This window comes from Homo sapiens, chromosome 10, assembly GCF_000001405.40.
Source record: "Homo sapiens chromosome 10, GRCh38.p14 Primary Assembly".
Classification (NCBI taxonomy): Eukaryota; Metazoa; Chordata; class Mammalia; order Primates; family Hominidae; genus Homo; species Homo sapiens.
In genome coordinates, this window is record NC_000010.11 from 117,714,734 (window position 1) to 117,733,768 (window position 19,035).

Consider the following 19,035-nt stretch of genomic DNA (forward strand, 5'->3'; position numbering starts at 1 on the left):
GAAGTTCAGCTCCATTGTTCACTATCTCTATGAGATTAAAAATGTTTCTTAATATCTCTAAGCCTCACTTTTCTCATCTGCAGATAGGGTTGTAAATACCTAGCTGAGGGACTTTTTATGGAAATTGAATTAATTTACAGACATGAAAGTATTTAGCTCAGCACCTAATCCACTGTAGGTATACTGCAAGTTTTCTGGTGTATGTATTCGTTTTTACAGAAGGAAAACCATGGCCAACATGACTGGCTGATTTTGTAGGTTAGGTCACTTCCTACTCATCACAACTCCCTTCTAGCTTATCTTTTCGTATTGTAGATGCCATCAAGCTAAAAACAAAGCAAAATAAAGCTCCATTTCCCAGACTCTTTTGCAGCTAGAAATCTGCATATGATCTGAATTCTGTCAAGTAGGTGTACCATGCAAATCTTGGAAGTGAAGTGAGCAATAGCAGTTGGTCGCTATGCACAGGAAGATCAGATGTGAGGGCAGGGTGGTGTAGGCATCTGTTAGAGCTGGCTAGGGTGGAGTTCCTGCAGCCCATTGCTCAGCATCATCAGTTCTGAAGAGTAGGCCACAGGGACCTTGTGTTTCACAGTATAACATGGTCCCATGGTGTGGGTTGCTATTTCTCCCAGCGAAGTGGCCCCTTCGCTGCGATATTGCTTGTGGCATTTGAATCTGGTTTCCCAGCCCACCTAGAGATTCTATGATCTGTATAATCCTCCTTAAGAAATCTTTTTCTATAAATCATTCTACTGTAAAGACACATGCACACGCATGTTTATTGCAGCACTATTTACAATAGCAAAGACTTGGAACCAACCCAAATGTCCATCAATGATTGAATGGATAAAGAAAATGTGGCACATTTACACCATGGAATACTACGCAGCCATTAAAAAGAATGAGTTCATGTCCTTTACAGGCACATGGATGAAACTGGAAGCCATCATTCTCAGCAAACTAACACAGGAACAGAAAACCAAACACTGCATGTTCTCACTCATAAGTGGGAGCTGAACAATGAGAACACATGGACACAGGGAGGGGAACATCACACACAGGGGCTTGTTGGGGGGTGAGGGGCAAGGGGAGGGATAGTATTAGGAGAAATACCTGATGCATGCAGGGCTTAAAACCTAGATGTTGGGTTGATGGGTGCAGCAAACCACCATGGCACATGTATACCTATGTAACAAACCTGCATGTTCTGCACTTGTATCCCAGAACATAAAGTATAATTAATATTTTTTAAAAAAGAAATCTTTTTCTGCTCAAATTGACTAGCATAGATTGCTGTTGTCGAAAACTAATATTCAAAGACTGACATGGTATCATCTAAGAACATGGAACTGGAAATGTCACCCTTTAGTGTCCAAGTTGTCTACTGGCATGTGACCAGCATTCTGAACTAACATATTTTTAAATACATAGTATGGTTCCAGGTGGCACTATCAAGGCAAGGAACAAAAGACTGATGGGGGAACAAAAAGAGTTTCTGAGTTTTCTCTTGATTTTTATTTTATGAATTATTTTAACTATCTGTAGTAATTTCACACTAACAGTCCTGATGCACCAGGAAATGCTGACTATAAAGGTAACAGGGACATTTGAAAATTTAAAACCCAAATTATAATTCTGCAAAACAATGAAGTCAATTTCCAGGTCCCCAACAGCAAATCATATCTATGGTTAGCAACTGGTATTGTTCTTATTACTGGTTAAATGGAAAACCAAAATACAATATTTAGACAAGATTAACAAAGATTCTGCACGATGAAGAGATAGCATAGAACATCTCACAGCAAGCTAGAGAGAATAAGGTATTCAGTCAAAGAGCACCAGCTTCCCGTTCTGCCATGTGCTCAGTGACTCTGGACAAGTTAAGGGCAGAATATCTACATAGCTTACTTTACTGTGTGGTGAAAATTAAATGAGACAATGCCTGGGAATGGGCCTACCACATAATAAATATTCAACTCATGATGGATACTTCTTGTTTTCCTTTTACCTATTTCAGTAAATAGAGCGGTATAGCACAATCAGTTGCTGCACTTCTGAAATATTCTATGTGCATTGAATTTTGAAATATCAAGTAAGACTTGATCTATGTCAGGGGGAAACCCATTGTAAAACTTTTTTTTTTTTATTTTGCAAAATGAAGCTCTTTTTGTGATGTGGGCAGCTCTTCATGTAATTTCTTAGCTTTCTAAGTTTGGATTTTTGCCTGAAGTTTCATATTTTGTGTAAGGACAGGGCACCCTTCTCTCTCAAGCTTCAAAATAAGGATGGCCTTAGGAATGCTTATTGTGGTTAGTCACTCTAAATGGGTTTACAGACATCAGAGCCTGAGGGTGAGGGAACCAGGCTGATGAAATGAGAACCACACCCAACATCTGTTCCTCGGTGGCAGCTTTAAAGGAATCTGCTTTACTTACATGGGTACCTGTGAGCAATAGGTAGAAATCTGCCAGGGTGTTGGTCTGTGTCTCTGAAACCCTCCACTCCTCTTCCATGTCACCCATTCTATCTCCCACAGTTTTCAGTCCTCTGTTAAGCTCTCTACGACCACACCAGATGGTCACCTCCACCATTGTTAATTCTGGTGATCAGTTTTCCACATGTCCTCCATCTTGACTTGTCACTGCCTTCATGTAAGATGCTGTTACTGCCTTCTCGCTTCATGCAGTAGATTAGATTAAGACCAGACTCACTCCAGGCACACTCTGCCTTGGTCCTTGGGATGTGCTGGGGAGAGGCATTGGATACTTTCTCTAAAGTACTGTGTGGTAGAGACCAGTGGTTTTCTTCCAATGTGCAATTTCCCTTCCTACCACAAAGACTACATTTCCAAGCCTCCCTGGCAGCTAGGTGTGGTCATGTGACTAAGTTCTGGTCTTTAAGAAGTAAGAGGGTTTTCTGGAAAATATCCTTAGGAGGAAGAACATGCCCTTTCCATCCCCTTCCCTCCACTCCTTCTTCTTTTTCTCTGGATAGCGCTAAAGATGTGATGGCTGGAGCTGTGGCAGCCAGTTAGGACCATGTGGAAGAAGGCACTGCTGGCAATGACAGAGCAACAAAGTATGTGAAGCCCGGGATTCTGATGATCATGGAGGTGAGGCGCTAGTTCTGGACTGTTGACCTGTGGACTTCATGTATGTAAAAGACAAATACATTTCTTTCTCATCAAAGTCACTATTATTTTCAGTTTCTTGTTGCTAACAGTTGAACCTAATCCTAATTGGTGTACAGACAGAAACTCTACCATGCTAGGGGGTAAAAGACCACATGACCAGAAGCCTGGAGGTAGGATTTTATCCACCACCCATCACTCATCTTGAGAATCACAGCACTCACCTGCTTTCCCATCTATAAAAGGGGCAGAAAAAATGGTTCTTAATTTATTTTGAGTTACAGAACTCTGAAAAATGTTGCTTAAATCTGTGGGTCATCTCCTAAAAAAATACAGATAGATACAAATATGCAAAGTTTTGCAGAGGATATCAGGAGATTCCTTGGAGACCTCTGTAGCGAGTTGATGAATTCCTTATTGGTCTAAGCACCAGATTAGAACCAGAACTCAAGAAAATCTTTCAGCTTTAGGAACAAATCAACACTCTCATTTTTTGGTTGTACATTATTGTTTTAAAATACTTTTCAATTCCTTTCAACTAGGAACAAAATCAAAACACATCTGAAAAAAGACACAATCCCAAATCTCCTAACAGAGTACATTTCTGGGTCTTATATCTATATAATATATACCCATATATAAAAGTACATCATATGTAAATATATACTACAATTATATGTGTGTATTCATGTCTGTGCATATGTATATCCATGCACATATATTTACATACACATGTATATGCATGTATATATGTTCACATACACATACACGCAATAGATATACATATATAATATAAAAATTGTATACATATAGTTAAGGGTTTTTTTTTGGCTTCAAGGCATTTAGGTAGATATGTGATAAGCCAGAAACCTTCTGCATCTGCCAGCCTGGAAAGGGTCCTTGTCACTGTGTTAGTTCCAGTCCTTAAACTTTCAGGTCAGCTCCTACTTGGCACCTTTCTGGCTAAGTCAGGAGGCCACAGCACCAATGGATCACACATGCTGAGCGGCCCCTTGAATAAAGCCAGCACTTTGGGTCTGGGGTGCATGGAGGAACTAGTGAGACAAGCTCAGCCCTGAAACTGCCTGCACTTACTCCTTCCTTAGATAAGCAGTGGTAAATCCCTGCCACCGTCCCTCCAAGGTGCTTCCAGTAGCACTGCTATTAAGTGACCACTGAAGGTAAATAAAGAGCGAAAGAAAGAGGGAAGGCCAAGGAGGTGACTTAGATGACCACATTTTGCCACTTAGAGGTTACCCAGCTTTTGCAAAACTCTGTCTTCCTTGTTTACTTAGCTGTTTCTACACGTGAACAAATGGACCTTTTAAAAAAAATAAAAGCTGAGTAAGAGGCTTAGCTGTATCCTTAGACCCAAGTTTTCCACAGGTTAGATTAGCTATAAATTAACCAGTCTGCAAAATATATAAATAAATAAATTGCTTTGTCTGAGCTATCTCCAGTAGGGCTCTGCCTGCTTGTTATGAAGCCTGGTGGCCGTTCCACTGCCCAGTGCTTTTATAAATACTAATGAGTGACATATTGAGAAAAATTGTACCTACAAAAGCAAAGTCTTCTTCCATGCAAATCAGGCCCCAATTCCCCACAGATAAGGATCTTTTTGATGGAACACATGCAAAATCTCCAGCTCTTAATTCTTTCATTAGTATTCCAGGCAGATGGCTGCCAAATAACAGAGAAAACTGTCTGAATTGCTGTGTCTGAAACCTAATATTGATTTGTTTAATAGTGTCAGGAAGTCAAAATTCACAAATCTCCTGTCGATTGTTTATGAGGCAGTTAGCAGAGAATTGGTTGCCCCTGCTTAATTAATAACTCATTACTGAAATTTGATTATATGCTTGAATGCTTTAAATGGGTTCTAACACAGCGTCTGCAAAGTGGCGTAACGACAAGGTAAGGCAGCTCAGGAAGCTTCTCTATTTAGACTTGTGCCATTAGAATTTCCCCACAGTCATACAACACCGGCCTCTGGTGACTTTCCTCCTAGAGGCAACCTCCCTGGTGTTAGCATGTTGGTTTAAAAGGTGTTTTGGGGTCCCCTGGACTGAAGAGAGGGGGGTCTAAAATTTGGGGTGGAGACATTTCTAAAAAAAACACTAGACGCGGACACATCTGCGGTATTATCTGTGGGTGCACAAATTCTAAGGTAGGAGTTCTGACGGAGGGGATTAGCTGGTGACAAGATTGACAACATTCTATTATTCAAGTGTTGTTTTGAAAAATGACAATTCAGCATGGCCAGTCACCCCATGTGGACAGACTGGCAGGATCAGAGCTGAGGGTGTTCCTGGCATTATCTGACCTTGTACTCTGAGGCTGGGGGTCTCTGGGGGAGGCTCTCACGGTTCCACACAGCCCAGTGCCAGGGACAGATGGGGAAAGTTAAAGTGACATCAGAGGATGAGCATGCCTCTGCTGTATCTCCAGATTAAAACACGAATGCCTTTGAGAGATAATGCCCTCCAAAGGTCTGGCATGGGCATGCCAGGCACTGCCATGGGCTGGCAAGGGCACTGCCCTCCTGACCAACTTATAGCCCCCACCCTGCTGCCCCACCCATCAGAAAACTGGCTTTCACCAGGGATCAACTCCAGCCCAGGCTGAGTCTGGGCAACTCTGAATCCCCTTCTATTTTTGTTTTAGGTTCAACCAAGGGGAGAAAGCAGAAGGAAGGGGCTTCCTAGCTTTGCCCCTTTTTGTATCCTGCTGAAAGCTGTGGCAGGGGTTGAGTGTGAGGAGGCATGGGGACATGAATGAGTTTCCCCTCTGCAGCATTTGCCTTGAGTGGAGGATGGGGTAAACTTCCCAGTGTAGCCCAGAAAAAAATCTAGCTCACAGTGGCTGAAGACTGTTGACTTAACAGCTATACAGGCACCTGCAGACACAGGTTGTATGACGGGAGCGCATCTGTTGAATGCTGTTGCAGTTATGTCACAGGCAAAATAGGACTTACTGGGCTAGTCTGTGCCCTGGTCACTGTGAGTGCATCATTTTAGAACATCATTATTTTGGAAAAAAGGAAGGACCACATTCTAAATTCCAAACAGCTGACTCATGAGCGGACTTTTGGAAGCCACCAACCCTTTGTCATTGAGAGCTGCCTGATCGCAGGGTCACACAGAGGTGTATAAAGGCCGGACTTCAGGCAGTCATGTGAGCATGCTCACAGAGGCCGAGTCGTGTGGCAAGCCTCGTGGAGAAGTCTGCAGGCTTCTTGCTCCTAAGAAGGTAAGGAGCAGCTCAAGGCGGTATACAATAAAGCCCCAGGTGAAGGGACTCACAATACAGTTGGAAGATTTCAGAAGGAGAGGTCACTGCCAGCTGGTAGGGCCAGGGAAGGCTCCTGAGAGGAACCAGAATGGGGCCTTGAAGTTTGGGTCAAATTTCACCGGGGGAGGGGGGCATTCCAGGCGGGCACAGAAGTGGGCTGGTCAAAGGCAGGTTTCAGGACGGCGACTGGCCAGGCCGGCTGGAAAGGAGGGTAATATGACCAGCTTGTCTCCTGCCTGTGGTCTTAATTGAACCAGTCAAGCTTTCAAAATGAACAGTTGATCATTTGATTAAGAAGGGCCTTTGACTCTTTCAAGACCCGCGGAGACTGATTTTTATCAAAGTGGATCAGAAAGGTTTGCGTGGAGGAATGCTGACCAGATTTGGGAGGGAGGTTCCTTGCCGCTCTTACGGGCCAGCCTGAACGTCTCTTTCTCAATGAAGTGTTCTCAGCTGGGTGGGCGTCCAGGGCTGAGGCCGGAAATTGCCGCCCAGTTTAGGGTGGCTGGGTCCCAGGGCAATGCTTGCATTTGCTGGTGACAGGAACTTTATCAAGTCCTGCTTCAAAGGTAAAACCTGGGCTTCTCCCAACAGCCTCCAATCAGGAATGCCTCCAAATGCTTCCACTTGGCTTAAACAGCTCCAGTGCAAGGAAAGGTTGCTGCTGGTGTCTGCCATGAAACCAATTTGTCAAAATGCTATTAAGAATTTTCAGTTATACAAAAAAAAAAAAAAAAAGAAGGAAAGAAAAAATAGAGTCAACTTTTTAAAACTCTAATTTATTATGCTTGATTACGCAGCTGGAATGGGAAGGTAGCTGCTGTTTGTAGTTAAATAACTCCTCACAATTTCTTAAAGAAATGATCTTCAAAGCTTTAACGGGTCAATGGCTCAAGTACAAAGGAAAGATTGATTTTCATCCTCCCACCCTTTGTTCCCAGAGTTTAAAACAGACACGTTTGGGTAAATTAGTTTGTCTGTGTTATTAATGGAAGAAGTTATTAAACTCCCATAAATATACGGTGGTATCTCGCTTAAAAGGCCAAATTTGTTTTAAGGGAAAAAAGTAAGAAAGAAAATGTGGAAAAGCACAGAATGTCTATTAGTTATTCTTATTTCTTTTCTAGATGTGAATTTGGAGTAGTGAGCTGGAGAAGCAGCTGGCTCTAGATTTATCCCCCAAGTGGTGGGATAAATGCCCGAGGAAGGAGACCCCAGCACGTTGAAAAAAAAAATCATCGTATTTGATGAAAAGCATTCAGAGGCTGGATTGTAGTAGGGGTAGAGGTACATAGAAGGAGAAGGGTGCAGGAAAGATATTCTTTCCACTGCCAATGAGATGATAAAGGACTATTCAGCTTTTAAACCTCAGGGGCTGGTGAACATTTGTTGGCTGAAGGTAGAAGGGTTTTATCTACTCAAGGCACCTTTTTGGGAGAGGGGATCAGAGATGACTCACCCAAGTGAGGGAGGCAGCCCCTAGCCCACATCCTAGGCCAGAATGTAGGGGAGACGCAGCTGCAGGAGCCACCTGTGGGGGACTGCACCCAAATAGCTGGAGGTCTGAGGCACTAGTGTGCTTATAAGGGTAATTCTCCAACTGTGTCCACACTTAACAGCTTATAAACCCTGGGGTTCCATATCTCCTTTGAATCTCACAGTGACCCTGAACAAGGCTTGTGATCCTCCTTTTGCAGATGGTGAAAGGCAAACACAAAGCATTTTGGTTTTGCCCCTGAGTAGAAAAACAAAACACAGAAAAGCATTTGGAAAGCAGAGAAAAGTGAAAAAAAGAAAACCGTAGTTACCACCAGATGACAGTTAGTGTTTTGGGTTCTTTCCTTTTAGACTTTTTTCAGTGACCGTACACACCCATGCTCACGAGCAGACCCACGCTTGCACATACAAAAAGGCACACACAAACGCACATGCACACACACACACACATGCAAACACACACGTGTGTGCACACACACAAATGCACACTCACATACCCACTGAGTGCTCAGTGTGCCAGGGACTGTCATAAGTGCTTTTTACATACTCATTCATTTACGTTTCAAAACAACTGTGTTAGGTAGACACTATTACTACCTACATTTTACAGAAAACTGGCACAGAGAAGTTTTCACTTGCCCCAAGACACACAGATAGTGGAGGTAGGAGTGGGTAAGGATTGAGTCCAGACAAACCAATTGGCTCCAGCCCCCGACCTGTGTTCCTAACCACTCTGCATTTGGCCTCTGCACACATCTGTGGAATTATTTAATATGGGTGAAATCATATCATAGCCACAGTATTGCATCCTGCCTTTTTTCCATTCAGTATTGCCTCATGAGTGTCTCTGATGCCATTGCAATTCTTCTAAAATGATTTTCGGTGGCTGCACCACCAGATGGAGACGTTTTGGCTAGAGTTAACTGCCTTACATGGGACCCACAACCCAGGATTAGAACCAGGTCCTCTGGCTCAGAGTTCAGCACTCTTCCCCTTATACACTGTTGAGATGGTCACAAAACAAAACAGAGAAAAAGCATGAATCCAAAAGTCGCCAAGATAAGTTGTCAGATCTGGAAGTGGCCCTAGTACCTGTTAGCTTTGGGCTAAGACTCTTTTTGTTACCCCAGTTGACCTCATTTTAAACTCTGTGTGAGAAATTAATTTTTGAACTCAAGACCAGGAAAACCTCTGTGTCCCCTGAGAAGCTGATATGCTTCTTTTCTTTCCTCCTTCATAAATGACTATTTTTCTCTTTTCACTTTTGCCACCAGGAAGCTCAGTGTTAAATCTGAAGCTAAACTGAAGAAACTATGTGGTCTCTTACGACTGGTTGCCACAACAGATGTTGCCAGGTGTCCTTGGATAGTGACCTCCCATATGAAGCCACTTTCCTCTGATCAGGCCTGACAGCTTCACACTGTGGAGGGAGCTGAGAACAATAATCTTTCAAGGAACAGAAAACCAGACGCCACATGTTCTCACTTATAAGTGGGAGCTAAACAATGAGAACACATGGACACAGGGGGGGGAACAACACACACTAGGGCCTGTTGGGGGTGTGGGGTCAGGGGAGGGAGAGCATTGGGAAAACTAGCTAACACATACTGAGATTAATACCTAGGTGATGGGTTGATTGGTGCAGCAAACCACCATGGCACATGTTTACCTATGTAACAAACCTTCACATCCTGCACATGTACCCCAGAACCTAAAAGTAAAATTAAAATAAAAAAAATCTTGAGCATTCAATGTTATGACCTGTGCCACTCTTTATAAAGCTCATGAACAACCATAATCCCAGTGTATTAGTCTGTTCTCATGTTGCTAACACATACCTGAGACTGGGTAATTTATAAAGAAAAAATGTTTAATGGACTCACAGTTTCACATGGCTGGGGTGGGGGGCACTCACAATCATGGTGGAAGGTGAAGGAGGAGCAAAGGCACATCTTACATGGTGGCAGGCAAGACAGCCTGTGCAGGGGAACTCCCATTTATAAAACCATTAGATCTTGTGAGACTCATTCACTACCACAAGAACAGTATGGTGAAAACTGCCCTCATTCAATTATCTCCACCTGGCTCTACCCTTGACACGTGGGGATTATTACAATTCAAGGGAAGATTTGCATGGGGATGCAGCCAAACCATATCACTCAGTTAATCCTCCTCCCAAGCATCCTGAGAGGAAAGTGGCTGAACTCAGCCCTATTTTGGAGCTGAAGAAACTGAGGCTTGGAATAGAAGTGCTCAAGATCATGCCCAAGTCTCTCTCCACTCCCTGGGACTCCTCTGAAAAGTACCATGAAGTCTCAGTGCAGAAGTGGGAATTCCTTTCCTTTCTCTTCTCCTAGTCTGGCTCTTCCCCTGTGTGTTGGAGTTTCCCATAATGCACCAGTATGTGAGCTGATTGGAGTTACTGCACTAAGCAACCTTTTAATATTTTGAAAGCTCTGTATCAGTTTTAATAAATTCTGGTGCATGAAACTGGTTTTCCATTTACAATAATAATATATGCTCTTTCAAAATAAATGCATTAAATTTATAACAAAAAGCAAATCAATTTACAGTAACATTTTTAGTAAGGAATAGAAGGGTAGGTGTGCAGATATGACCAAACAGGTGAGACCACTGCTTCCTGCCACCCCCAGCCTCATTCTTAGCCCACAGCCAACTGAGAACTGCATTTGCATATACAGGAGCTGGTCTCACAGAGAGGACTCCAGAAGACCAAAATGTTTTCAGGAGCCAAAGGAATGAATCCCTAATGTAAAAATTTCAGGTGAACAGTGAGGGAGATGCCTCAAGTCTGAAAGGCAATCCACCCTCTAAATCAAATATCCAAGGATAAAGTGGTGGCAGGTTAGGGTCCCCTCAGCCACCATGGCAGCCCCGTTAATCTCTCTGCATATCGGTGTGTTCATCTGTAAAATGGGTGATGACATCTATCTGGTTAGGCTGAAGTTAAGGTTACTTCCCCCAGGACTGACCAATCTTGCTTCACCAAAAGGTACAATGTTCCTCTCTCTCTTCTTCTTCTCAGCAGGCTTAGCCACACAAGACAAATTAATTGACCCTTGGGTGAATTAATGGCCTGTGGGTGCAAAAAGCCAAGAAGAATTATCTCTGTGAGACACGCCAGGCTCTGCAAACACTCCGTATGCCCATAGGGGAGTGACTGCGTGGGCCTCAGCTTGTTCATCTTGGGGATGAAAGGGGATGAACTACATCAAGTCTGTCAAATAGGTAAGAGCTTCATGGAGTGCTGTGTGTAGAATTCTGAGGCCACACCCAGTCTCTGTGAGAACGAGGGGAGCAGCGAGTGACTGCTAGCATTTATAGATGATGGCATGATTGTTAACACAGAAACAGCCCCAACAGTTAGAAGCCCCTGGACCACTGAGTTCGTGGGTCCATAATCCCTAATTCTAGTTGTTTCTAGTTGCCCAAAAGGTAGCTCTGAGAGAAAGCCTGCCTACCTGTCTTTATTCCTTCCTTTCTCTCCTTTTCCCAGCCCTGTCTCCATGGTGATAATGTGATTCCCCATCTCTTAGGAAGGCTGCTAGACTCATGCAAGTCATTTGTAGGAGCTGTGCAATTTGTCATCCATTCTGAACATTTTTGAGAATGAAAGGGAGCACGTTCAATAATTTTCCTGGGACCACAGTTGTAACCTGGGACTCTCCTGGGGAATTGATGTTACTTAAGATGGTGGTTTGCAAACTTTACCACGCATAAGGATTGCTGAAGGCAGGGGAGTTTTCTAGGCAGTATCCTCAGTAGGGTTAGGGCCTGAGGATTGGCATTCTAACAAGTTCTCAGGTGCTGTTGCTTCAGGTCCACAGACCACACTTTGAGGAGCCTAGGTTCACAGAACTCATTCACAGCATGTTCTTATTGAACCTTACAGAGAGCCCAAAAGCCATGAAAAGTTATCAATACTGTCATGCTAAGCTGGAGAACCGAGACTCAGAGAAGTTAAGTGACTAGCTCAAGGACACCCAGCTACAAGGGGAGAAGCCCTTGTTTAAATCCAGAGTTGCCAACTTGCAGCCTCTGCTTGGCTCACCAGGCCCAGCAGCCTCTCAGCTTAGGAGCATTTTAAGAGCTGAGCTGATCCCCCTGGCTCTGCAGCAATGCCTCGTTCTCTGCAAATGTTTCTGGCCTGGATTAAACCCAGCTCTTTTTGCTTCATAAAAACTACTTCAAGTCAGCCAAGAGGACTGTAATTTGGTATAAGAAATTACTTTGGCAATGCTTTAGTCTATATTTATACTTAATTAATATTTTAATGTTTTAATATTTTGATGTATGCATAATTTTAATGTTAAAATAATCAGATGTATATCATAGAACACTGGTGCTAGGTATTTTCTGTTTTACATCATTGAAATGGAGCTCCATTGGCCTGGTGCTCAACTTCCATACACTAAATCCTCAAGTGTATTTTTTCAGGAATGCAGTAGGAGGCTGCCTGTATCATTTAACCTCTCTATGCCTCATCTATAAAATGGGGCAGGGAATAGTGCTTCCATAATAGGAGAGGTGTGGAGATTAAATGAATTAATTCACATTAGCTTAATTAGAGGAGAGCCTGGAAAATATTGAGTGCCCACAAAGAAAGCTCTTCCTTTTTAAATTCTCTGCTGGACTCCCTTTTATTCTTTTGTCACTTTTATAACTTCCCACCCGTGAACTCTTTCCACACATAGGCTGAATTTTCTTCCCCACTATATTCCTTCAAATCTTGCACACAGTAGGTGACTAAGACTTACTTATGGAACGAACACAAAATTTAAAATATTTAGGAATCCCAGAAACTCATCTTTATACTGCGAAACCATAAAATCCAAAGCCTGAGTGATGGGCTATTTCATTGAGGTCCCACGGAGGTTGTTGGAACAGCCCAGATTGGCCGTGACCCAGCCTCAGCATCTCTCTTCCAGCTGCATGGAATGAAGTCTGGGCTCCACAGCACTCACTGTTCCAGACATGAGACCTTTCCACTGTGAGTTCCACTCTGGGCTTGGAAAGCCTGGAATCAACAGATCCAATGGGGAATGAAAGTGAATTTGGTGGGTCTCATTCAGCCTTGCTGGCTGCTGATGGATTTGGGAGGGATGAACAGTTTCCTCTGGATGCCTGGCTATGAAAGGAAAAAGAAAAGCAAGAATCTCATTAGGTGTGGGAGGTTTTGTGGTTTGGTCCAAAACCAGAATCAAAAGTGAGAACCAATCTCACACCCAATGGCCAAAGATTTAGGCTTTTTAAAATGAAAATTCTCATTTGTCAGTTGCTTAATAAGCAGAGAAATTTCATGGTGCTCAGAGGCGGTGACAGGAAGAGCTTTATTGAATCTCACCAGGTCTATGGGTTTTGGGGTCTCTAGCAGAAGTTTGAACATATCCCTAAAGAAAGAGCCAATTAAAGAAGGAGAAGGCATAAGCTGAGTACCTCTCAGATAATGAGAAAAAGCACCTGGCTCAGGAGAGTGTTTTAGTTAGTGCTTGCTATGAAACAAACCACCTGCAAACAAAGGGGCTTCAGCAACTACCATTTGTTTATGATTCAAGGGGTCAGCAAATTAGGCTGGGCTCAGCAGGTCAGTTCTTCTTTCCTAGGTAAGCTTCCTCATGCATCTATAGTCAGCTGCAGGTCAGGTAGGGTGGCTTTGCTTCTGGAGGTTAGCTGGCTATTAGCTGGACAGTGAGGACAATTGGGCCATTTATGTCACATCATCCAGCAGGCTAGGCTGCACTTGTTTAGGTGGTGGCAGCAAGATTCAGAGAGAGAGAGAGAGAAAGAGAGAGAGACAGAGACTATAAAGGCATGAAAAATGCCTCTTGAGACCTAGGCTCAGAATTGGTGCAATATTGCTTCTGCTACATTTCACTTGCTAAAGCAAGTCACAAGGCCAACCTAGATTCAGAAATACATTCTGCAAAAAATATACTCCACCTCTTTAGGGAGGGAGCTGCATAGTCACATTGCAAAGAGGCATGGATATTGGGGAGAGTTGGAAAATTGGGGCTATTTTGCAAACTACTACAGATAAGATGACTAATTAAAGGCTGTTGTTAGAGGAGTGACATAGATAAGGAAACTGTGCACTGAGAATGATTATTGCTGAGGAGTTGGAAATTCCACTTAGCTTCCTGCTTGCCCTTTCGGAGAAGAGACAAGCCTGTGTATGTGTGAGTGGGTTGGGAGTGGGGTGTAGTGAGGGGATGGTGAATGGCATGAGGTTTATATCCTGATCCACCACTGATTAGCTATGTGGCTTTGAGAAAGTCAGTGAATCCATCTTAGCCTTGATTTTTCCCATCTGTGAAATGGGATCTCAGTTTCTACCTCATAGGGTTGTTGTGAGGAAGAAAGAGGCAACAGGTCTGGCATATGGCAGGCGCTCGAAAAATGAAAAACAGCCACAATAATGAGTAATATATGATATCAATCAAGTAGCAAAGAACAGCTTATATGATGAAAAGTGAGTAATAAAGAGTAATTAAACTTATCCCCAGCAGATGAGCCTGGCATATCCTATCCTGGAAGGCAAAATGGCATTCTAGATTTATACCAGCAAAGCTGCCATCTCTGTGAGGCAATTACCAATTCAGGCCTCAGAACTGGCCGCTAGCCACTTAATACCTCCACGGTCTCAGATGTCACCCAGGGCTCTGTTGGGTCTGGTGACACACTCAGCCCTGGGTCGGACCCTGGCCCTGCACACAAGTCCAGGCGCAGTGAGGAGAGGTCTTACTGAGGAGGCAAGGCAGCCTCTTACCAGGCTCAGAAAAAAACCTCTGGTTTTGCTCTTTGACTCCATGTGTTGGTGTCTCTGGGTGGGAAAGATCAGGGGAATGACCAGAGAATTATGAAAAGCTCTAGCTTAGCCATCCTGAAAACAGACTATATCTGCATGGTCCAATCTGGTGGCTACTGGCCACATGTGGCTACTGGGCACATGAAATGCAGCTAGCTAGTGCAACCAATAACCGAATCTTTATTTTTTATTTTACTTTAAGTTCTGGGATGCATGTGCTGAATGTGCAGGTTTGTTACATAGGTATATATGTGCCATGGTGGTTTGCTGCACCTATCAACTCATCATCTAGGTTTTAAGCCCCGCATGCATTAGGTATTTGTCTTAATGCTCTCCCTCCCCTTGCTCCCCAACCCCCCGACAGGCCCCGGTGTGTGATGTTCCCCTTCGTATGTCCATGTGTTCTCATTAAGAACCGAATCTTTGAGTTATTTATACAAGCACATGTGGCTAGTGGTTAGCATATTGGACAGCACAGTTCCAGACAGCTGAGCCTCTGAAGAAAAGGGGCCCTGGAAGGTTCTGAGTGATGTGGCCATCACCCCTTAGTGGTTTGGAGATCCTGTCTCAAGGGTGCATGAGAGCCAGACAAGGGTTTGGATATGGGTCAGCTAAGCAGCAGGGCCTTGGTAGTCTTCAAGGTTATTGCCTGGACTCTCCCTTCCTATGTCTAACAGTGCCGAATCAAGAGGAAAGCTCATAATTCTGAAGAAATCGAAAATCCAGTATAGACCTAGCTTCTCTGCCACCTTGCCCTTTTCTGAGTGGCACAGCCACTTGTAGCTCCCAGAAAGGCCAAGGCTTTGCATGCTACCTCACTCTTTATTGTGCAAAAAACCGACCCATCTGTCCTGTCAGGGAGAAAGGAGAGGACCCTTATGAGAAGGAAAGGAGTCCTTCCCATTTGGATGGTTGCTTTTGAATAAAAGGGGCCACAGGATCCAATGTGGATTTTGAAGACGTTAAGATAGCTCATGAACCTCTGTGTGTGTGTGTGTATGTATAGGCACAGGTGTGCATATTCACACGCACACACAGTTCACTCATGAAAGAATTGACTTTTGGAACGTCAGAACAAGATGCCTTGGTCTGGAAAAACTGGAGGCTTTGCTCCTGTTTTAATTGGGTTCGAAAAGATGACAAACTAAATCTGCCTCCGGCTTTGCTTTTGAAACTCACATTGAAATTTATTTCAAAACCTTCCCAACTGCAGCAGAATGCTGCTTATGGAAGCGATGGTGGATTTTGCTCTGAGATTTTTTTCTCCAATTGCTTTTCAACTCTAGCAGCAATAAGTGGCCCAAACCAGTCACAGCCTTTGTGTGTAAGCTGATGACAAAAGCCACTCTCTATCCACCTCGCCAGGCTCTCAATCCCCCAATATTTCTTAAAGTTGAGACTTCATTGCAGGCAAACATCTTAACGTCCTTTAAAGGATAGACTCTTTCTGGATCCTTCAATTAATTGACTGTGGTGGATACCAGCAGCTCCTGAATGGGCTTTTTGCGGTGGCGTGGGTGAGATTAGTTTTCTGCTATTGCCATAATTTACAAGGCTCACGTAACCATGTAACGACTTGGTGATTACATGAGAAATATCGTATAAATACATAGTAATTACAAGTTCATGCAGATTACTTGGTATATACATTTGAAGTTACCGAGTAGTTCAAAGATTAATTATCCTGTAACTGGCAGTATTTAAATCATCTTTTCTCATATACGAATACATTGAGGCCGACTTCAAGGCTGGCAAGGACGCGGATGCGATGAGTATGATCTGAAAAGAAAAAATGAAATTTGACAGGCATGGATTATTTAAAGCATGCATATGTGAGCCGAGCAGCCACTACACTTTGATGCAAATCGTAGGGGAGAGAGCCGGGGGATGGTCTGTAGAGAAAGGTGCTGAACAAAGTAAAGATTTCCTGCTGGCGACTTGAAATTTAAACAAATAATTATTTAAATGGCGGCCCGGCATTACGTTCCAAGTTGTGTGCATTCATGTCAACATCTGGTACCAACATTTTGACAATTCTATTAAAATGCCCCAGCATTCCCTATCTAACACCTGTTAGCTCTAATTTTCTTTCCTGAGAAGCACACCAGTAGACAGGGTAGATTCCAAATCCTTTATCACTTTTAAAGTGCTTCCATATGCGCGTTGGACCCAGCCTGGCCCTAGGCGAACGTTTTCTGAATGCATTAAAATTCAGGACTATTTTTTTAAAGTGTAGACACCAATGTTTCATTGAATTCATGTCTGGTAATTATTAGCTTAAATTATGGCTCACACATGACTTGACAAAGTGGACCATGAATTAAAACACACATACACACACACACTTGCACACACCACACATACACACACCCCCCAGAACTCCTCAATAGATGCACCCAACTCATACATTGCTCGTTATTGAGATGTCAGTCAGTAATCATTAGGCAAACACTCTTCATGGAGAGAACTGCTAAGAGGCCCAGGCGTCCCAGGAGAGGATCTAAAAATGTCAAAAATGTTACAGTATAAATGAACGACACCAACAAGAGAACATGTGTTAGAGATGCAGGCAATTAGTTAAGATATTACAAGTTTCAACCTCTGAGCAAAACAGGCAACAAAAATTTCCTCTTGACAAAAGGCTACACATAAGATCAAGTCGATTCCCAGACAACATAATCTCCCTGAATTGGAGCAGCACTCCAGCAGGCTGGGAGGAAGGGATGAACCTGGGGGGATTCAGGGGTTTGTAAGGTGTGGGCCCCCAGGGTAGGTCCTGCCTTGCCTGAAAATGACTGATTTGACTGCCAGGCTCCTGAAGGGGAGAAGTGAAGTCTGAAGTGAAGGAAGTCGTCCTGCGACCCATGGATCCGGCTCATGAAGCTAACAGACTACTCCCGGCTGGAGCTTCGGAATAAAATTTAGAAGGTAGAATGAAATCATATTGCTGTTTTCAAAGGAAAGGAGGTAGCTGCAAAAGGCAGTGGGGAGTGTGTATATATGAGATGGATAAATACTTGCTCATTGCTTTTCAGAGATTTTTAAAATTAGATATTGTAGATTGTACAGTTTCTCTCTGTATATATACACACACATAATACATACATATACGTACATGCACATATACACACAAATATATATGGAGATGTTTTAAGCAAAAAGGCAAAAAGACCCACAACACCCTCCATATATACACATACAGGAAATATATTTTAAGCAAAATACATGATTTGCACTTTGGATAAGGATTTGAACGGGTCTCTTAGAAATACGAGGAAATACTGAGAATACAAGAAAGAAGGGATGAAAACCTGAGTGCACCAACTCTAAAAGTAAAAAAAAAAAAAAAATTGTAGACAGTTAAAATGTCTGTCTCTGTACACACGCACACCTACACGTTCACACTTCCTCTGTTTACTAAATAACATTTCAGCACAGTTTTCATCTTATAAGGAAAGTGTTTGAAACTTGGAATAAGTGCACTTAATTAAAGGAAGGCTGTGAAAATGTGCACTAATCTGATATGACTAATAGCAAAGTGCATGAAATTGCTAATTAGAATTTCATTAAAGGTGCTGCTTTATCAGACTGTGAATATCACAACCTTTAAAATTCTTTCAGGAGAGCTTAATTCCTTTTCAAACAGAAATATTCTTTAAAGACATTTGATTTGTTCTGAAGGAATTCATGGCTTAGGTTGGAACTTAAAATGTTGCCGATATTCCAGGAGGTGACATCAGAACAGGAATATAGATCGGGGACTTTGTTTCATTTGCTGATGAATCCCCCTCCCCCACCTCTATGGATTATTGTTCAAAAACCAATCATGAAAAATGCAGTTGAGTCTTTGTTTTGCTCCATACATAATTTGTTTTCTGCTGAAGCCAAGCATTTATTCTCACCTAGCAGAATAAAGGAAAAATTATTAAAAAAAATTTAAAAGTACTATGAATAAAATTAAACATTTAAATTTTCACATACATTAAAAAAAAAGGACAGCAGACAACACAATATTTTTTCCTTTAAAAAACCATTTTTTTAAAGCCAGTACCCTTTTCTCTTTCTTAAAAAAATAAAACTCTTAAAAAAGGAGTCACCTTTCAATCATAAAATTGTACTTTTCAGAATTGGGTGAGTCCAATGGTAACAACAGTAAAGGCATTTTACTCCTTCCCTGACCTGTTTTCCTGGGTTATCAGGTTTTCTTATTTTACATTTTAATTATTCCCTGAACTAAATCTGCATTTCAGCTTGCTTTTTGTCAATCAGATTTTTAAAATTCTACCTT

The 19,035-nt window shown here is 42.7% G+C and overlaps 2 long non-coding RNA genes across 3 annotated transcripts, besides 1 other annotated feature; both read left to right on the forward strand.

Annotated features, from left to right (window-relative positions):
• Positions 1-2,802: 2,802 nt before the first annotated feature.
• LOC107984274 (uncharacterized) lies at positions 2,803-17,709 on the forward strand. Its single transcript, XR_001747600.1, has 3 exons — positions 2,803-3,115; positions 10,968-11,170; positions 17,559-17,709. It is a non-coding gene; the product is annotated as an uncharacterized LOC107984274 (long non-coding RNA).
• Positions 5,806-9,673, forward strand: LOC124902556 (uncharacterized). Of its 2 annotated transcripts, none has more exons than XR_007062386.1 (2): positions 5,806-6,382; positions 7,552-9,673. It is a non-coding gene; the product is annotated as an uncharacterized LOC124902556 (long non-coding RNA). The 2 variants fall into 2 exon arrangements; XR_007062385.1 differs by having other exon boundaries at positions 9,196-9,673.
• Positions 6,125-6,419: an enhancer, noted in NCBI's record as "tiled region #1206; HepG2 Activating non-DNase unmatched - State 21:Repr, and K562 Activating non-DNase unmatched - State 24:Quies". NCBI's record gives its function as "activates a minimal TATA promoter and a strong SV40 promoter by Sharpr-MPRA in HepG2 and K562 cells {active_cell/tissue: HepG2 | K562}" and the evidence as "EXISTENCE:reporter gene assay evidence [ECO:0000049][PMID:27701403]".
• Positions 17,710-19,035: the final 1,326 nt, after the last annotated feature.